Source organism: Homo sapiens, chromosome 21 (assembly GCF_000001405.40).
Source record: "Homo sapiens chromosome 21, GRCh38.p14 Primary Assembly".
Taxonomy (NCBI): Eukaryota; Metazoa; Chordata; class Mammalia; order Primates; family Hominidae; genus Homo; species Homo sapiens.
The window spans coordinates 46,546,563-46,564,851 of record NC_000021.9 but is presented as its reverse complement, the minus strand read 5'-3'; the positions used below and the strand labels follow the sequence as shown (position 1 = coordinate 46,564,851).

General features: G+C 51.1%; 1 protein-coding gene across 29 annotated transcripts in view; it reads right to left on the bottom strand.

Annotated features, from left to right (window-relative positions):
* The window catches only part of DIP2A (disco interacting protein 2 homolog A), a 124,981-nt gene that overhangs the window by 19,020 nt on the left and 87,672 nt on the right, over positions 1–18,289 (bottom strand). For 11 of the 29 annotated variants that reach the window (XR_007067786.1, XR_007067785.1, XR_007067784.1 and 8 more), the window contains 15 exons: positions 17,810–17,937; positions 14,967–15,081; positions 14,108–14,309; positions 13,109–13,218; positions 12,948–13,028; positions 10,560–10,683; positions 10,156–10,277; positions 9,919–10,030; positions 8,761–8,870; positions 7,783–7,913; positions 7,099–7,267; positions 6,459–6,629; positions 4,069–4,130; positions 3,047–3,104; positions 920–994 (listed from right to left, as the gene is read on the bottom strand). Coding sequence is in view for 26 of the 29 variants with exons in the window: in NM_001353943.2 (NP_001340872.1) it covers positions 920–994; positions 3,047–3,104; positions 4,069–4,130; positions 6,459–6,629; positions 7,099–7,267; positions 7,783–7,913; positions 8,761–8,870; positions 9,919–10,030; positions 10,156–10,277; positions 10,560–10,683; positions 12,948–13,028; positions 13,109–13,218; positions 14,108–14,309; positions 14,967–15,081; positions 17,810–17,937 (1,770 nt within the window). In the remaining 3 variants the exon portion in view is untranslated. Of the gene's footprint in view, positions 1–919; positions 2,098–3,046; positions 3,105–4,068; positions 4,131–4,988; positions 5,019–6,458; positions 6,630–7,098; positions 7,268–7,782; positions 7,914–8,013; positions 8,450–8,760; positions 8,871–9,918; positions 10,031–10,155; positions 10,278–10,559; positions 10,684–12,947; positions 13,029–13,108; positions 13,219–14,107; positions 14,310–14,745; positions 15,082–17,644; positions 17,938–18,289 lie in introns of those variants that run through there. The other 18 variants (NM_001410751.1, XM_047440707.1, XM_047440710.1 and 15 more) reach the window with 7 other exon arrangements.

Here is an 18,289-nt window from a genome sequence, read left to right as displayed (position 1 = left end):
TCACACCAGCCACACTCAGGGTTGGGACCCAGGACACCTTCCCATCAGGACACGGTAAGACCACCTGAGGGCCCGCACGCTCACACCCTTGTCCCAGTCAGGAGAAGCCAGCTGAGGCTGAGTGATTTCCCTCTGGGCACGGCTTGCTGGAAGCCCCCAGTCTGGCTTCACAGCAGAGCTCACAAATGATGCCTGTGCCCGCCTGGTTTGAAGACATCAATTTGACAGCACATTCCCCAAGAGGATAGGACTAGGAACGTGAGTCCTTATGCTCCCATGACAACAGATCAATCTGCACATTCGGGACTGCACGTCAAGCTGCCACCACTGCCTGTAAATAATGAGTCATGCCTGTCCCAAATTACAGCAAGATGTACGTGCAATACATGTAGACATTTCAACCCAACGGATTCCTGTATAGCCTCTGTGTTCTCAGGGAGACCCGCACCCTCCACTGTGTCCTCAGGACAAGGGCTCTGAGCTCCCCAAACCTCCCAGCTGCAGGTGGAGGCCCTGAACTCTTCTGGTGCAGAGTTCCCTATTGCCAGTTCCCCGTGTCTGTGCTCCTGCCTGGGTGCCAGGGACCACGTTTACGTAGCAGCTGCTGGGTCCTGCACAAGGTAGCTGTTTTCCACACTGCCACTGGTTCCTGTGCAGCTCCTCTCACCTGTCAGTGCCCTCAAACCTAGGGGTTCCCCTCTCTTGGTTAGGTCAACCTAGGGATGAGGCAGTTTGTCCCACAGTACCCCAAAATCCTACATAGGAACTGGGTCTGGGAGGTACACGGGGCAAGGGCCAAATGGTTTCTGGTAGATTCCCAAAGGCAAGTTTAGAATTCCAAAATCTGAAGCAAAAAGGGAAGGAAGGTGAAGCTGGTGAGGCTGGAGAGCTCAAGCCCCTCCCATGGGCCCCTGCTCACCTCTCCCAGGTGTGAGTCTCCCAAGGGTCCTTTGGTCTCGGTGTGTGCGATGATGACCTTCACGCCGGGGAGGATCTGGAAGGAGGAGAGCTATGTCCCTTGTTAAAGAAAACATGACACGAGACTCTCTTGATTCAGTGACATTAAAATAACGTCCCTCAGAAGCTGGCCTGCAGGACTGATGTGCTCATGTCAGGTCAGGAAGTTTAGAGGCCGCTCCAAATTTGACTTTGAATTTTGAAAGAAATAAGAGATGTTAATAGAAATAAGCAAAATGACTCCAGTTCCTGAGAAGGGATCCCGTCTCTGGGTGTCAGGAGGGGCAGAGGGTCACTAAGCCTACAAAGACAATCAGCCAGGTGATGCCAGCGCACCTGATGGGCATCCATCCAGGGGTGCAGTGACCCTGCTGTGCCCAGCCCTGCAGGAGGCACATGTCTGTCCTAGTTCTTGGCCAGGAACCTGACCATGAGGAAGTTCTTCCTGCCCGTGACTCCGAGTCAGTCCAACCACTGAGCACTGGCTCTGTGCCAATTCAGGACGGCAAGAGGCCACCATCTCTTACCTGGCCTCCCAGGCCCGGTCCCAGTGTTCCCTCACTGGGCTCAGGTCAGACCACCTGACTGCACAAGGCCTGGATGCTTGTTCTGTGTCCTCAGTTTCCTCACGTATGAAATGGGGGCAATGACACTGCAGGCTCAGGGCAGGCAAGAGGAGGGGACGACGGGCCACAGGGAGGTGTGAGCTACGGTTACCGCCAGACCCTCCCCGGCGGAGTGGGACTGTTCTGTTTCCCCAGATGCTGTTGGAGCCTCCATCTTCTCCCTGCATGTCCCAGCTGAGCCCCAAAACCAGAGCTCTTTCCAGGACACAAACCTATCAGGCCCAAGTGATTGTAACAGCAAAATAGGAAAGAACGTCCAATAAAAGGGGGTGAGCTAAACAATTACAGTGCGGCTGTACATGGCAGGGCAGGGAAAAGAGCGACGTGGAGGCCCCATGACCCAGGGAAACCCGCTGAGTTTACACCAAGGATGATGCAGAGCTGTGTGCGATGGCGGCTCACATGTCCCTGTGCTCAGAGAAGGGAGGACGTGCAGCAGCCCACGGCTCCCACAGATGTGCTGTCCACTAAGCTCACCCGACTCCACTCTCGGCTGGTCTACCGCCTGAAGTGACTGTAACAGGGGACACGGGAAGGGAGCTTTTCAAGCCCCTGCACCTGCATGTGAGTTCACTCACTCACGCACTCCTTCTGCTCCCCACACTCAGCCCAGTCCCACTGGCCTCCCTGTAGCTCCCACCTCGAGACCCTCACAGCAGCTGTGCCTTCTGTCCGCAGTCTCACCCCTGCTGCCCTGCAGGAGTCTGTATCCTGGACATCACATGGCTTGGCTGGGTCCCTCTCTGGACCCCTCTCTGACTCCCCACAGGTGGCTGTGGCCATGGCAGTGAACGGAGTCAGGGTGGCCAAGCTCCTTCCCTTGCCTCTGCGGTTGTGAAGGCACCAGGGTCCCCGACTCATATCAAGCCTGGCTTACTCTTCATGCTGCCTTCCTGGGCTGTGTGGCTTTTCCTCCTTCCTTTGAACCCTTCCTGGTTCAGAGGATGCTGTTCTGTGCCTATGTCTGCTGACCTCTTGCAGCATCTCAGTTTTTTCCTGGGAGTCCTCGGGCCATCTCAGGATCCCCCAGATCCCCGACAGGGTCTGGGGGCCTCTTCCCTGCTGACACCCTAAACTAGGGCATGAGATTTTGCCATCTCCAACTTAGGGCCAGGGCCACTCCATTTAACTCTAAATGTGTGGGTGGGCCGGAACCCCCCTCCATGGCCCTGGCCCCAGAGGCCTGAGGCCTGCCACCCACCCAGCGGGAGTTCTTTATTCCTGCACCTGAACTTCTCCCTTTCTTGGCTTTGAGCTCAGATGTGTGTTTAAAAACATAACTAAGTAATTCTATATACCAGCCACAAAGGAGGGAAGGAGACTTCTGCAGCAGCCGAGCCCACCCCAACCAGAAGTCGACCTGTGTTCATCAGAGCCGCAGCCCCCAGCACCCTCCACGGGGTGATGCTTCAGACAAAGGTCTCAGACGCGACTCAGAATGCACGCGTCTTGGTTTCCACTACCTTTCCAGACTCCATCAATGGCAGGCTGTGCGGAGAACCCCGTTCTACCAAACGAACCCTAAAAATTAAGGGAACAATTTCAGTACAAAATTTACTACACAGGTAGTAATGTCTGAAAGGGCAGATCATGACGTTGGAAATGATCACTCTGAGGGTCTGTTGACAACAGTCAGGATGTCAACCTTTCCACAGCACACCTGCCATGAATGGCAGGGACACCCCAACCACGCTGCGGTCCCAAGTGCCGCCACCCGCATGCACTCGCCACCCACCCCATGTGCTCACAGCAGCTCACTCTACATTTCGTTTAGGTCCTCCCTGAACCCAGCAAGCCCCTGGCACCCAGTAAGCTAAACCTAGTGTTTACATCAAGCTACAGTGTGGCCATACTTGAGAATCCAGGACTGGGATCTGAGCTTCAAAGCTGGGAGGGGCCCTGATACACATCTGACCACAGACCAGCAAGCACACACTGTATGCACCACCATCGTTCATCAAGATGAAACTAAGTCAGATCCTATGACAGCATCAGGTAAGAAACGTTCTTGCCAGTAGATGGATAACTTGTCTTCTATCTGTCCCTATCCCTCTAAAAACCAAATGTCACATGGGTCATCGGGTAAGAAACGTTCTTGCCAGTAGATGGGTTACTTGTCTTCTCTCTGTCCCTGTCCCTCTAAAGAACCAAATGTCACAGGGGCCACTCTTATTCTTCCTGGTTGTGTGACAGATAAAGGGATGTTAACTGCAGCCCTGGGGACACGGGCGCACAGAGATAGACACTGAGCTCCCCTGGGAGGCACGCCCGGAGTGGGGCACACAGCTCTCCTCTTCCTCTTGGTGCAGATGGCCCAATGTAGCCAGCTGTCCTCTCATGTGCCCATCCAGGTGTCCCGGTAGGCCTGACTTGGCCCCGCCGTCCTCTAATGCCTGGGTCCCGGGGGTGCATAGTCAGTGCAGACCTGGTTTGCATCACTTTGCCACTGGGTATCCATGGGGCCCAGGCAGGCTGGGAGCATTACCTGTCATGGCGCAGTGCCCGCATGTCCACGTAGACGGTTGTGGGGTCCGGGCCAGCTGTGCCCTGGAAGGAGAGCAGCAGAGGAACTTCTGTTCAGGGGCCTCACTTAACATCTTGTTTCTACAGGTACAGCTGCATGGCAGCTCCTCCCTGGCCCCCGGGGACACCCAAGAAGGTAGCAGCTCTGCTCCCTGCAGTGAGTCCGCCTAGGGGTTCAAGGTCCCCCAGGCAGTCTGATGCTTTCCATCCAAACATCCACAGAGCTTGATAATATTGAGCGAAACACTCAATGACTCTGAAAACACCAAATCATGCCACTTTACATTTCAGTTCTAACAACTTTCTATTCCCACTGGTCTCTTGCTGTGATGAAAACACCATTAGGATTTGAGGGGCATTTCCACCATGCTGTCAGGCAGGGCCTTGCCTCTCACCAACCAGCCTAATTCTACCGGGGACTGCTCGCAGCCGAGACTCACTCAGGTGAGATGGATGGCAGCCTTCACCTTTCTACTCTCTTCCTTTCTGAATCTTACAGTTAACATTAATCCCGACTAAAGGACATTATGTGTCATTTTATTCAATAAGGAACATCAATTAAATGAGTACTCTGATCAACATCACCCTTAAAGATCCCAGACAACATAACCTGTGTCTGCACTGGAATTAAACACCTCTGCACTGGAACTAAACACAGCCCTTCCTCCCAAGGCAATGCTATGAGCATTAACATTTTTTGAAAATAGTTTTACTTTTAAATTTGGTTACAAGGGAGCTTTTGTAATATGTCAAGTAATATCCACTGTGAACAAAGTAAGACAGCAAAAGAAACATGTTTGTCTAGAATTCACGAGAAAGTCACATGAACTCATGGGAGGGGGAAGCACAGAGGCACCAACAAGGTCAAGGTCAAGGTCATACCTGCTCAGCCAGCTTTCCCAGCCTGTTGGGCTGACAGAGGCCAAGGAGGCAGCAGAGTGAGACAGGGAGGAGACAGCCACAGGAAACACACACAGAAGCAGCAGCCACATGAGAAACACAGGGAAAGAGAGAGCAAAACCCACCTCTGTATCTTAAAGAGCAAACGTGAACATCCCATTAACATCATTTCTGCAATCATGTGTGGCATCCATACCCTTCCGACGTCTAGCAAGGAGGCCCCAGGCTTGCAGACGCAGAGCCGCTAACACAAAGGCCGGCACCCACGCTCAGCCACAGCCTACACAGGAAGCGAGCTCACAAAAGGCTCCCGCCCGATCTCCTCTGCTGCGTGACAAGGGTCTGAGGCTTGAGTGGTCAGGGGTCTTTTTGTGGTGAAGAGGGTGTGAGCAGAGCCCCCGCCCTGCCCTGCGTGCACTGCCACTGTGATGGGGAGGCACAAGGCCAAGCAAACACTTTGGAAACAGAGACAGACCTGCACTCAGCCCTGCTCTGGCACGGACAGGTGCCATTTCCTTCCAGCTATTCTTGTACTATGTGGGTGAATAAGGCGTTCAATATGTAGGGTTATCTAAAAAGCCATTTGGTTTTAAGATGTTTTTAGAAAGAAATGAAATTGAGATACTAGTACAAAATCTGGGCAACAGCTGTAGCTATCTGAGGAAGCAATAAACAGAACTGCCGTGAGCTCTTCAATCTCTGAAACTTGGTGCTACCTATGTTTTTTTTTTTTTTTTTTTTTTTTTTTTGAGACAGGGTCTCGCTCTGTCACCCAGGCTGGAGTGCAGTGGTGAGATCTTGGCTCGCTGCAACCTCCTCTTGCCAGGTTCAAGCGATTCTTGTGCCTCAACCTCCCAAGTAGCCGGGACAACAGGCGCGCACCACCAGCCAGCTAATTTTTGTATTTTTAGTAGAGACGGGGTCTCATCATATTGTCCAGGCTGGTCTCGAATTCCTGACCTCAGGTAATCCGCCTGCCTCAGCCTCCCAAAGTGCTGGGATTATAGGCATGAGCCACCACTCCTGGCCTGAAACTTGGTGCTTCCTTTTAATAAGACATTTCATGGTTTCAGAAATGAATTTGAGTCAACACAAATTACCACATTTATTAATGTTTCAATTTAATATTGCTAGATATCTTAAAACAGTAAGTTCAATCTTGCTTTAAGAACTTAGCTGTGTTTTATATCTAACTTAGAGAGTCTTACAGTTATTAGTCACTGTTCAAAAACAATGTGTTTTTTTTCCAAATAAGCCTTTCTCCAACTAGAATAGAACATCTTTAAAAATAAAACCCTTGAAGCTAAAATGTTACATGGAAATGAGATATCAAAGGCCCAGAGAAGGAGAAATAGATCAGGCGGCTACAAAACGGCACATTAACAACTGGGAAACTGGGTCTCCATGCTGCCAACAGCCAGCTTTCGAGAACCGCAGCCCCAGGCACCTCACCTGGAGGCAGATGGCCACGTTGACCCTGCACCCGAACGTGGTGCTTACGGCGCGGGCCGGCAGGCCCAGGTCCTTGAAGAGCTTGGAGAAGGACTGGGTCAGCGCAATCCTGGGCCGCTCCTCGGCGACCACCATGCACGTGCGCACACATGACAGGTTCACCCCCTTCATCTGCGGGAGGGGTGAGCGGTCAGGCCACGGCCACAGCTCAGTGAGTTGCCAGGGCCCTGGGCACTGTTTTGGGAAATCTCCGGGTGGGCACACAGAGGTGGAGCTGGACACCAACCTCCTCTCCGCAGGCTGTGTCTGTTCCACAGAATCCTACGTGTGGATGCGCTAAACGATTCCCATCTGACCTGCATCCCACACCTGCCCTCCCACGCGGCCAGACTTCCACCCCGCTATCTCGCAGGGACCCTGCCCTACCCCCCACCCTCCTCTCCTGCGGGGTGTGGAGCTGCAGAGACAGGTGGGCCGTGGGAGGACAGATGTGTACATAGGGCCCCTAGTGGGAAAGGGTTTTCTCTACTTCCTCCAACTGCAGGGAGGGGCCTTGGGAGTCTTGTTTTGTTTTGTTGTTTTTAAACTTCCCAGGGCTGTGGTCTGCAGCACACTCAGAAGCCCGGGTCTGGGCACTCACCCTGAGGACACCCGTCTGTGCGCCTAGGCCCTTGGTGCACATCTCCATCACAGAGTAGGAGCAGAAGGTGACGCGGGCCTTGTACTGGCTGACGGCCGACAGCCACAGGGACACGTTGCTCTCCAGCTCCAGCGGGGGCACCAGCACTGATTGGTGTCCCGAGTAGACACTGCGAGAGGGAAGGCTCGTGAGGCTCCGCCCGCCCACCCAGCACCCTGGGCACTCCACTCTTCCCTTCCTCAAGAACACTTCTTTTCCAGCCACAACAGGGGCATGATTTCTGTTCTGACGCCAAGTGGGGGGGTTTGGTGGAAAACATGCCACAGGGTGAAGGTTGGGGGATGGCAGGCACGGGGTTCTGAGCTCTGCTCCGAACACTTGGAGAGGATCCGGGGACACCACTCCAGAGGCATTCACTTCTAGAGACGGATCGCCACTTTCTAGTGTTTGAAGGAATCAAGCAGATTCTTCCCAAGTACTGATAACGGACAGTGTATTTAATGAAAAATGTATTTTCACTCAATTTCAGACTCAGACTCCAACCCACTTCATCCCCAAACAAACCCACTCACACACATCTCATCGGCTTCCTGAGCACCCAGAAAAGGTGCCTTAGAAGGCCAAGGTTCCTAAGAGCCACACGAGCTGCTCCCACCTGGCAGGCAGCAGGGGCCCTGCACTCACCTGCACAGACACCACAGGGCAAAACCAAGGCCACAGTAGGGGTCGAGGCAGATGGCGATCTGCCGCGAGGGGTACAGCTCACACTGCAGCTTTATGGAGCGGCATAAGGCGCTTGTGGCCGCGTGCGACATCTTAAGAGTAAAATAAAGTTCAAAAAAAAAAAGTGAAATGAAATTCAGGAGGGGAGAGGGTGGATGGCAGTGTCCGCTGTTCACATGGCTAGACCATAGCTCCGAACTACCAAACATCATATTTATTTCCTTAAAAGACGGTTGGCTCAAATCCCCATATAACCTAAATAATACCCAAGAAATGGTACACTAAAAATCTTTGAAACAAAATTTCAGGGTAATGAATTTTTAAAATTTTTTTCTTTTTTTTTTTTTTGAGGCAGAGTCTTGCTCTGTCGCCCAGGCTGGAGTGCAATGGCACAATCTCGGCTCACTGCAACCTCTGCCTCCCGGGTTCAAGCAATTCTCCTGCCTCAGCCTCCTGAGTATCTGGGATTAGAGGCACCTGCCACCATGCCCAGCTAATTTTTTGTATTTTTAGTAGAGACGGGGTTTCACCACGTTGGCCAGGATGGTCTCCATCTCTTGATCTTGTGATCCACCCGCCTCGGCCTCCCGAAGTGCTGGGATTACAGGCGTGAGCCACCACGCCCCGCCTGAAAAATTTTAATTGAGCTATTGACTCCCAGCAAGGTAAGAGATTCTTCAAAGCCACCAGTTCCTGTAAGCTAGACAGTCATAAATCAGAAAGTTTAGACATAACCATAATGCATCAGAAAACGCATTACTCTCAGGCTAATCACATCTTAGCATTTATTGGTATTTAACACAAATCTTAAGAAGCAAAATTGTTGCTTTGTGCTTTGCATAAGAAGGACCTGTCAGTTTAAATCTGCATCTGACATCCTTTCTGTCCACTCCTCCTGATTTCTAGGGGCTGAAGCAAACAAGATTTCAGAGGACCTACCTTCACTCCCGCTAATATCCCAGTGGTTGACACGCTGAAGTCCAAGTATGCGAGGACATCGGGGGAGGGGGGCCTGAAAACGCTTGCTATCTTCTTTTTTGGGATGTCATCTGTTAAACAGGAGACACCAGCAACATTAGTGTTCCCACATGTATTCTGAACGCTCTGGGCTTTCACAGGCAAGAGGCGACACATGATTTGTCCTTGGGAGTCCTGCAGAGAGTGAGCTCAGACGGGAGTGGGGCCGTGACGATGCAGGCTGTGCGTGCTCAGGAAAGCGTATTTCATTCTTCATGGAAACGCTACCCGGTCCCACCAAGACCACACTGAGCCTGTGGGGATGGGGGACGAGGCAGGGCGAAGAGGGGAGGCATCACGTCACTGACCAGTAGGAAAGATTAGAGGACTAGGGATTTGCCAAAAGTCACAGAGCCTATGGCAAAGCCCAGATGAGCCGAGTCCCGACCACAGCAAGAATAGCTGTGGACGGGCTCTGGGTTCTGCGTGCTTCATCAAGTTCTCGTGGCCCCATGAGCCAGACACCACTGCCTCCCTGGGTGCAACTGGACACAGGCTCAGCAGGGCAGGCACCGCTCCCCTTGAGGCAAGCCCGTGAGGCTTTGGGGCCCTGGCCAGCTGTTTGGCTCTGAGCCTGCCCTCCCCTACACCAGCTGCCCTGGCCCAGCCCCATCCAGCCCAGGCTGAGACAGGTCCACGGCAGAGGGGAGCCAGGGGGGTTTCTGACCCTCACCCTGTTGGCCCTCAGCATTTCATGGGGCATGACAGCATTCACCAATGATGGGGACAGGGATGCTGGAGTGGCGGCATGCGGTGGGAGCTGTGTCCTCAAAGCGTTTGCAGAAAGCCTCAGAGAGCTGCCAGCCCCCATGCCAGTAGGAGGCGGGTGAGAGGGGCAAGGCTGTGCTCCACACCACTTGGGACTGGGTGCGGCTGCTGTGGGCTGAGTGGAGCGTGGGTTTACACATGGGACAGGGACCCCTACTCCCCACCAGGGCCCGGGGCACCCCCTGCTGTCAGCCAGGCTCCTGCCAGGACTGCTCTTGCCTCACGTGTGTTTTTGGACGGCAGCCAGGCCACACCACACCTACAACAAAGAAAGGAAAAGGGACTGGTCCTGGGCAGTGCGAGGACACGCACCTGTGTCTAGGATGGTGGGCCAGGTCCTGATGTCCACGGCAGCAGCAGCCTCCTTGGACCTGAGCAGCCGTGTGACAGCCTGCGTGGTGAGGACGCATGCAGACTTGCTGACCTGCATGGCGAGGGGCCAAGGGTGGGTGGGCGGGGCCTCTCAAGCTGCCCAGAAAAGGGGGCAGCGGAGGGCAGCCTTGCAGCCTCCCACTCACAGACTCTGACCCGCGGGCCAGGTAGGCGCACCTCCACGATCATCTTGACGGTGGGCAGTGTGGTGCCGAGGTTCTGAGGGTGCGGGGGCCGCACGGTGACAGGCACGCAGCCACAGTACAAGCAGCCATAGAACGCGGCAATGAGGTCCACCCCTGTGGAGACAAGGACTGGCTGTGAGGAGGCCGGCCGCAAGAGGCTCCCACCAGCCTCTGTTCACTGTTCCTGCGAGAGAGGAGGGGAGGTGGTGCTGGGGGGGCATGGGTGACTCCTGGGTTTCCACAGGGGTAGCTGAGCTGAGGAGGCAGACACATGCAGAGAGGAGGGGCTGAGCTTAGTTTTGGAAGATGCTTCGGGGAGGGAGTGTCTAGGGGGCTGCTTAGGATAGGAGGCTGCTTACAAAGAGCTGCAGGTGGACAGCCCCACAGTGAGCCCACCTGGTGGGTAGACCAGAGCCACATGGTCCCCAACACTCAGTCTTCCCTTCTCCATCAGAGCCGCGGCCACTCTCTCAGCCCTTTTGTGCAGCTGGACACAGGTTGCAGTGCTTGTGACGGTGCCCTAGGAAAGCGATCTTTGAGCTCATCTGTATGCTGGTGCGTGCAGGTGGGCTGTTCGCAGATCTGCGTGCACACCACCTGCACGCCACTGCACACGACACCTTGTGATTAGCGTCCATGATAATGACAATGTGTCAGTCCTAGACGTACGGCTGGTGTCTTTTTTTTGGTAGAGATGGGGTTTCACCATGTTGGCCAGGCTGGTCTCGAACTCCTGACCTCAAGTGATCTGCCCGCCTCAGCCTCTCAAAGTGCTGGGATTACAGGCATAAGCCACCGCACATGGTCCACGACTGGTGTCTTTTCTCACCATCTGTACTCTCTCACTAGCAGTGAAGGGACAGGCATGCAAGTATCTCCTGTGTGGTCCCAGCTAAGAGGGAGAGATGCGGGCACTCCATTCACCCAGGGCAGAGCCAGAAACACGTGGGTAAAGAAGACCTTTCTGGCCTTTTCAATAAAATATTCCATACGACACCATTATAAATACATAATAAGCGATAAGCAAACATCCCTGAATTGTACTACTTTCCATGCCCACAGGTCACCTGCACTGAGCCTGGGCGTGTGTCATCTGCAACCGGCTTTCTCAGAGGCATCTGTGTGTCTCCTCTAGGACTGACTACACCAGCTCCTTCATTCACCCTGTCTCTCTGCTGAGGGGCACTGGGGCTATGTGACCAGTTCAAGGCAAACAGAAATACCTGGTAACCCTACCTCTCTGCTCAGGACACTCATCCTCCCTGATCCCCTGCCAGGCCTCGCAGCTTTTTTAGTCCTTCTTAAGAAGATAAAAAGTGCAATTCAGTCTAATAAATATAAAACTCCAGAGCAGACCAGTGTAACATCAAAACTCCCTGTTTCTCGATTGGTGGCTTCTACTGACAGAAGGCAGTGGAAGAGAGAGACCAGTGGACGCACTTATGTGCTGTGTCCAGGCACAAGGGCTGGGCAGATCCTGAGATTCCAAATCCCGGAAGCTTTGCCAGTCCATATGAGTCAGGGCCCCATCAGGACAGAACCTGAGATCTGGACTGGGACTCAAAGCCCGCAAGGTCTGGGATCCCACTGCATCCTTAGGGAAAACCCAGCGACCCCCAGCCTTATCTGCATCCCCTACCTGGGACCACCTGGCCCCCACCACACTGGCCTCCTTTCCTGCCTTGAGCCACTGGGCATCATTCTTCATAGCCCCTGCTACCCAGTTCCATTCAAAGCCCCCTCCCCAGCACTCCAGGTTACATCACTCCACTGTATTGATACTGAGGTTCACACCATAAGCTGATTTTACCTTGGTCAATGATAAATCACTGGCTGGTTTGTAGGCTTTAGAACTCAATCAATCATAAAATAAATGTTTACTGGGCATGGTTCTAGATGCTTCCAATACACCAGAAAAACAAAGTCTCTCTCCTACGGAACTTGTTTTCTAGCAGGAAAGACTGATTTTAAGCCTCCTGAGAGTAGGGGTCCTTTTAATCTTATTACTGTGCACTGTGCACATTGTAGGCATCATTAAGTATTTTTTTAATTCGAATGAGCAGCACCAAGAGCTAGAAGAGCATATTCTAAGCCACAGTGACCTACTCTTTACGACACCAAAGCTTAAGAGTTCTTACAGCTTGTATGGTGCGTGGGACAGGAAGCCTTGCAGGGTTTTAAGTTATTTAACTTTCTGTGTTTCCGCATTTCGCATTCCTGCCCACAACCTGAATATGAAGATTACAGCTTCTCCTTCTTGACATCCTGAATGTTCCTAGCACAGTGGAATGCACACAACAGGAACTTGAAACACATGAGAATTTCCAAATCAGCAGCAGGAGCAGGGCAGGAAGCAACATTTGTCATTTAAAAGCTGTAACCAAATGTAGAAATTCTAAATGGCTAATTTTTTACAAAATAAACATTTCCTTTTAGCTCACAAACTTAGGAATATTTACATGTATACTGTTTTTAATTTTAAAAACTTGAGCTGATAAAAATTTTCCTGCTAAACACAAAATCAATAGAAATACTATTGTGTGAAATGTGTGGAAAACAAGAAAGGAAAGGGCAGGCAGCGAGAACCGCACCAGACAAGGGGGCTGAGTCCACAGGCACCCTGCTCTCTACGCATGAGAACAACCAGGACGGGGGCTGAGTCCACAGGCACCCTGTTCTCTAAACATGAGAACAACCAGGACACTGGCACCATGAACTAGACAAGCAAAGGGCTCCACCGGCCCACAGGTGTTTCCAAGCCCCGTGGGCGTGACACTGCCTCACCTTGGCGTTCAGCAGCAAGAACAGCGGGTGGTCAGGAGTGGTGTGGGCACGCCACTGCAGCACGTCAGCCAGGAACAGGAACTGCACGAGAGGGCGACTTGCTCACTGGCGCCTCCGGGGCACAGACACCCGTCCACCCGTCCCCGGAACTGGCCTGTCACCTTCCGTGCCTGGTCGCTGTCCTCCAGGTGGGCGAGCTCTCTCCCGGAAGCCTGAGCGATTCTCTTCCCAGCAACCAGGTTCCCCACGATCATTGAGGCTGGTCCAACCTCTAGAAACGGGGGAACTCTGAATGAAAAGCTGGTGACTTCTCATATATAAACATCACGTGATTTTATTTACAATTTTTATTTTGAAAACATACTTGAATGAGGCATTTAACTCTTCTACTGAGATACAAATATTCAGAAAGCTAGCTACAAGGTTTATGCTAAGTGACAAAGAGAATTTCTCTCTTGAACATAAACTACGCCTTATTGAGAAGTTTACTACACGACGCATCTCAGAGGATACGATTTGGCCTCAGTCACAGCAAAATTCTTAACATATTTTGTTTTACTGTACTTTATGTATAAATCAGGAAATTAAATCTTCCTGATGAAATGTATTTAGTGATATGTGTTCAATAATTAATAAAAAAAAACTTTGGCATGTACTAAAAATCAACAGGACCAAAGAAATGAAAAATTGCATTAAAGTTAAACCAGTCTCTAAAATTAGCTTTTAAATGTATAAAATGAGGGAAGGCAAGTTGGCCGTTTGCTGAGAGATTTCCGAGGCCACACAGACACTGGGTGATGTGATGTGTCCAGCTCGTCCAGCTCCAGGATGATCCTGGGCAGCATTTCTAGCCCTAGGGAGCCATCTCCTAGCCATGCAAAGCTAAGATGCCATCCTTGAGTTTATCATTAAAATTGGTTCCTAACAGGCAGGTGGAAACCACCATGCAGGTGATGTGGTTAAGTTCCCCCATGCGTGGCTGGTTCCAGGAAGGCGGGAGGTGGCACCATTCTGGGGTGCACACTCGCTCTGGCTCTTGACCCCAGCCCCAAAGACGTGGGCAGTTGGCACTGGAGGTCTAGCAGGGCCGCACCCTAACCACAAGCACCGCTGTTACCACTGTTAGACTAGAGAGCATCCTGTTGTTAGGTTCAACTAACCTGGTTGTTTCTGACGAGGTTTGGGGAGGTTGGTAACACAGGTGTGAGGGCACATCAGCACATTACACGGGTGCAGCGTCCCTTCCAGAAAGCGCTGTTTGGTTTCAGAAATGTGAATCCCTCCGAGAGGAGCCTTGGGCAAGGTGTTGGCAGGAACCAGGGCCAGACAGTACACGCCCACCTGGTGGATGCTATCAATGGCCTGAAAGGGAAGGACCCTGTTTGGCACAGGCCCCCAACTTGAGGCTGGGGAGATGCTGGGTGGGGGACAGGAACATCCCCTCTGTGGACCTGTTCCCCAGGCCAGGAAATGGAATGCCCTCTGGACACTTTGTTAAATGAGGAAACAAGATGAAGAGAAGTGTGTGCAGTTTTCTACCATTTAACTCAGAAAGGGGAAACACACACACTGTATTTGTGTACACATGTCCACAAATCTGTGATCAGAGGCTGAGGGATGGGGCAATGAGGAGATGATGGTGAAAGGGCACAAAGCCTCAATTAGACAGGAGGAGGAAAGTTTTTTCTTTGAGATATATTGCACAGACTGGTGAATATAATAATGTACATTTCAAAATCACTGTGAGAGTGCATTTCAAATGTTCTCATCAGAAAAAAATAAATATTGAGGTGATGGATATATTAATTATTCTATATTGTATTCATAAATTATAACATCACTTTGTATCCCGTAAATACATACAGCTGTAATTTGTCAATTTGCAATGAAAAATACAGATAAACAAAGCTGGAGCCAGGGAGGACCGGGCGGGACAAGCCAACCACTTGGCACTTGGAGTGGAGTGGGGGTGCCAGCTTGGGAGATTCACCGAACCATAGGCCGTGCCGGGGCGCCCACCTGCAGCACACGGCTCATCCACTGGAAGCTGTCCTCCTCCGAGGCATCCGGCCGCTGCTCAGCCACCAGGACAATCCGGTCGTCGTGCAGCACGGTCACAGAGAACACAGCGATCCTGCGGGATGAGACATGGAAATGGCCACACGGCAAGAGGCCAAACAAGACACAGATGCATTCTCACCCTCACGATGGAAGAGGCAGACTGTCCTAGTATTTAAAATGCAGTCTATCAAATGGGGCTACCTGCTGCACATTCAAAAAGTAACTCATCATTCTAATCTCCTCGAGGATGGTTGAAATGTGTCTCAAGTCACAAAAAACAGAGGACTTCAGGACAAAGCAAAACAGCTCCAAAGACACACATTTTTACAAGAAAAAATTCCTTAATCTGATGTAAATTTCCTTCTGCACAAATCTTTGTCTAAAAGTTCTATTTATTATATTTTTTTAATCCAACAGATCGCATCTCTATTTTACTAGAGTTAGTCTATTGACATTTATAGTGATTAGTATATTTAGACGTGTTTTTACTATCTTAAAAATTTCAACATGTCCTCCTTTTTTCTGTGTTGCCTTTTCCTTCTTTTAGACTTTGAGTTGATATCTTTGTCTTTTCTTTCATAAAGTAAGAAGATGGTCTCCCCACCAAACCCATCATGTTAGGATGTCTACCATTCTGACTCTGGGACATTATGGATATACCGTCTCTTGTCCTTTCCTTTGACTTGACTGGTGTGTGTGTACACACACACACACACAATTTACACAACAGACCTCACCTAGTACTGAGTTCTCCTTACTCTCATACATCTTATAGCACATCTTGAATTTATTTCTCTTAGTATCTTGACCAAAACTGTTTTCAGTACGGACCTCTGTGTGTTAAAACTTCTGAAACTTACATGCTTAAAAATATTTTTTATTACAACTGCACAATAAAGTGACAATTTGGATAAATTGGGTGCACTGTTATCTTGTGCCAGTTCCACTGTGGGGAAGTCTGATGTGTTTTGCTTGGCTTTTGTGTGGTCCATGGTGAGAATACAGATAAGCTCAACATGCCATGGGGCCCTCTGTGGACCACTTCCCAGTCCAGAGAACCCCAACCACCTGCTTCCTCAGACAATCCCTAACCACCACTAAACATATCCCTTCTCCTTGAGTCTGCTATCTGGACACCAGCCCTTATTCTCTCCCATCTCTCTTAATAGTTCCTTTAAAGTTCCTATTTTACTTCCAGAGTAGTTCCCTAATCTGACTTTCCACCTTCTCTACTTGTTCTCTAGCTGTATCCATTTTATGTATTCCATCTACTGTGTTCTTTGAACAATTACTTTGTTAGCATTTCTTGATCTTAGTTCATGTTGCAAATCTTCTATTGCTCTTCTTCCAATGGCACATATACTCTCAATTGGTTGTGGTTCCACTTCCAAGCTCCTGTATTCCTCAGCTCTTCCCTAGTGGGGACAGGGAGGCTATCCTGCCTGCAGACGCAGTCACCATCAGGTACAGGTGGCCCTGCGAGGGGGTGGTCTCCCTGCTCCACCTCAAAGCAGGGTTTGGGCTACCTTGATGTTATCCCTAAGGACACCTGCCCAATGTGTCCCCCATTTCTGCTGTGAGGGGGGTCATGACCCTGGCTGTGCCACCCTCCCCCTGCACGCAGGCGCACACAAACACACACACACACACACACACACACACGCACACATGCATGAGCACAGCCTGCCCTTCCCAGCCCCCTGAGCAATCTCCCACCTTCTCTGTTGTCCATCCTCTGGGCTTTTTCCTCAAGACTAACCATGATGACACACCACTTTGCAGAATCCCCTCACGATTGCTTTAAGGGCTACTCAAAGGCAGGGTCTGACCTGGCTCCCAAGTACCTTAGTTTGAGTAACAAAAGGCACATCCTTGGCCAGGCACATTGGCTGACACCTGTAATCCCAGCAGTTTGGGAGGCCAAGGAGGGAGGATTGCTTGAGCCCAGGAGTTCGAGAGCAGCTTGAGCAACATAGTGAGACCCTATCTCTACAAAAAAATTAAAAAATTAGCCAGGCGTGGGGTGCATGTCTGTGGTCCCAGCTGCTCAGGAGGTGCGGTAAGAGGACTGCTTGAAGCCCAGGAGGTAGAGGCTCCAGTGAGTTATGGTCACACTACTGCACTCCAGCCTGGATGGGCAACAGAGTGAGACCCTATCTTTAAAAAAAAAAAAAAAAAAAAAAAAAAGGCACCCCCTTGAGAAAAATAAAATTTAAAAAGGCAGCTGGTTGAGTGGACCAGTTAGGGGAAGAGCTTCCTCCCAGACAAGGAGCTTGGGAGTAGAAGAAGCAAAATTCTCTTCCTGGCCCCTGTGCCCAGGGGCATAGGCCCAGAGGTCTATTATTTGCTCAAGAGAATCTCTAAGGTCCTTGCTTTACACATGTAGAAAAGTTGAGTTGATTTTTATTCCAGAGGCAATGGAGGGTGTCATGTGTCTCGCAGAGAAAATGGCACTTTTCTGTTTTAATTCACATTCCAAGGTTATTAGGAACTTAGACCCATTTCTCCTTTGCTTTACTCAATTCTTCCCTCCCTGATTTGTCCCCTTGAGCCTTTGCCCCAAATTTTACATCAAAACCTTATTTTCTTAAGGAATCCAAGGAACTCTTTGGACAGTAAGGATATTAACTCTGGTATCATTGCTGCAAATATTTTCCTTTTACTTTAGGAGTTTTCTGATGTACAACAATTTTTAGGCTTTGTGAATTCAAGTTTGCTGGGCTTTCCATCTACTGCACAAAGACTTCCCGAGCTGCAAATGAAGGAATCTACTCCCGGCGTGGGGGTCCGCAGCGCATCACCTGCCTCTGTAGACAAACTTCATGGGCTCCACGGCCAGTGCGGTGGCCACAACGTCATCTGCATTGTGTCTGCGAACTCCAGTGACCATCAGCCCGTCCAGTTTGCCCACGATGAAGACCAGGTTGTCCTGAGGGAAAGGGTGTGCGTCAAGACTCCACCCACACGGGCAGAAGCTGGATGCGCCAGGACCATGGTCAGGCCCCCCAAGAAGGGGCCAACAGCACAGGAGCCTCTAGCGCCTTGCAAACGGGTCAATGCCCCACAGACCCAATCTGCAACGCAGGCCCTGTGACAAGCTAGGCCTGGAACAGGGGCAGGCTGTGTGGAAGGAATGGGGGCTGGTGGGGCAGCATCAGGAAGGGAGGCAACATGGGAAAGGGGCAGGCTATGTGAAAGAAAGTGGGGCTGCTGGGGCAGCGTCAGCATGGGAAAGGCTCACAAGTGGGAAACGAGTTGTGGGTGGAGTTTGTGAAGGACTG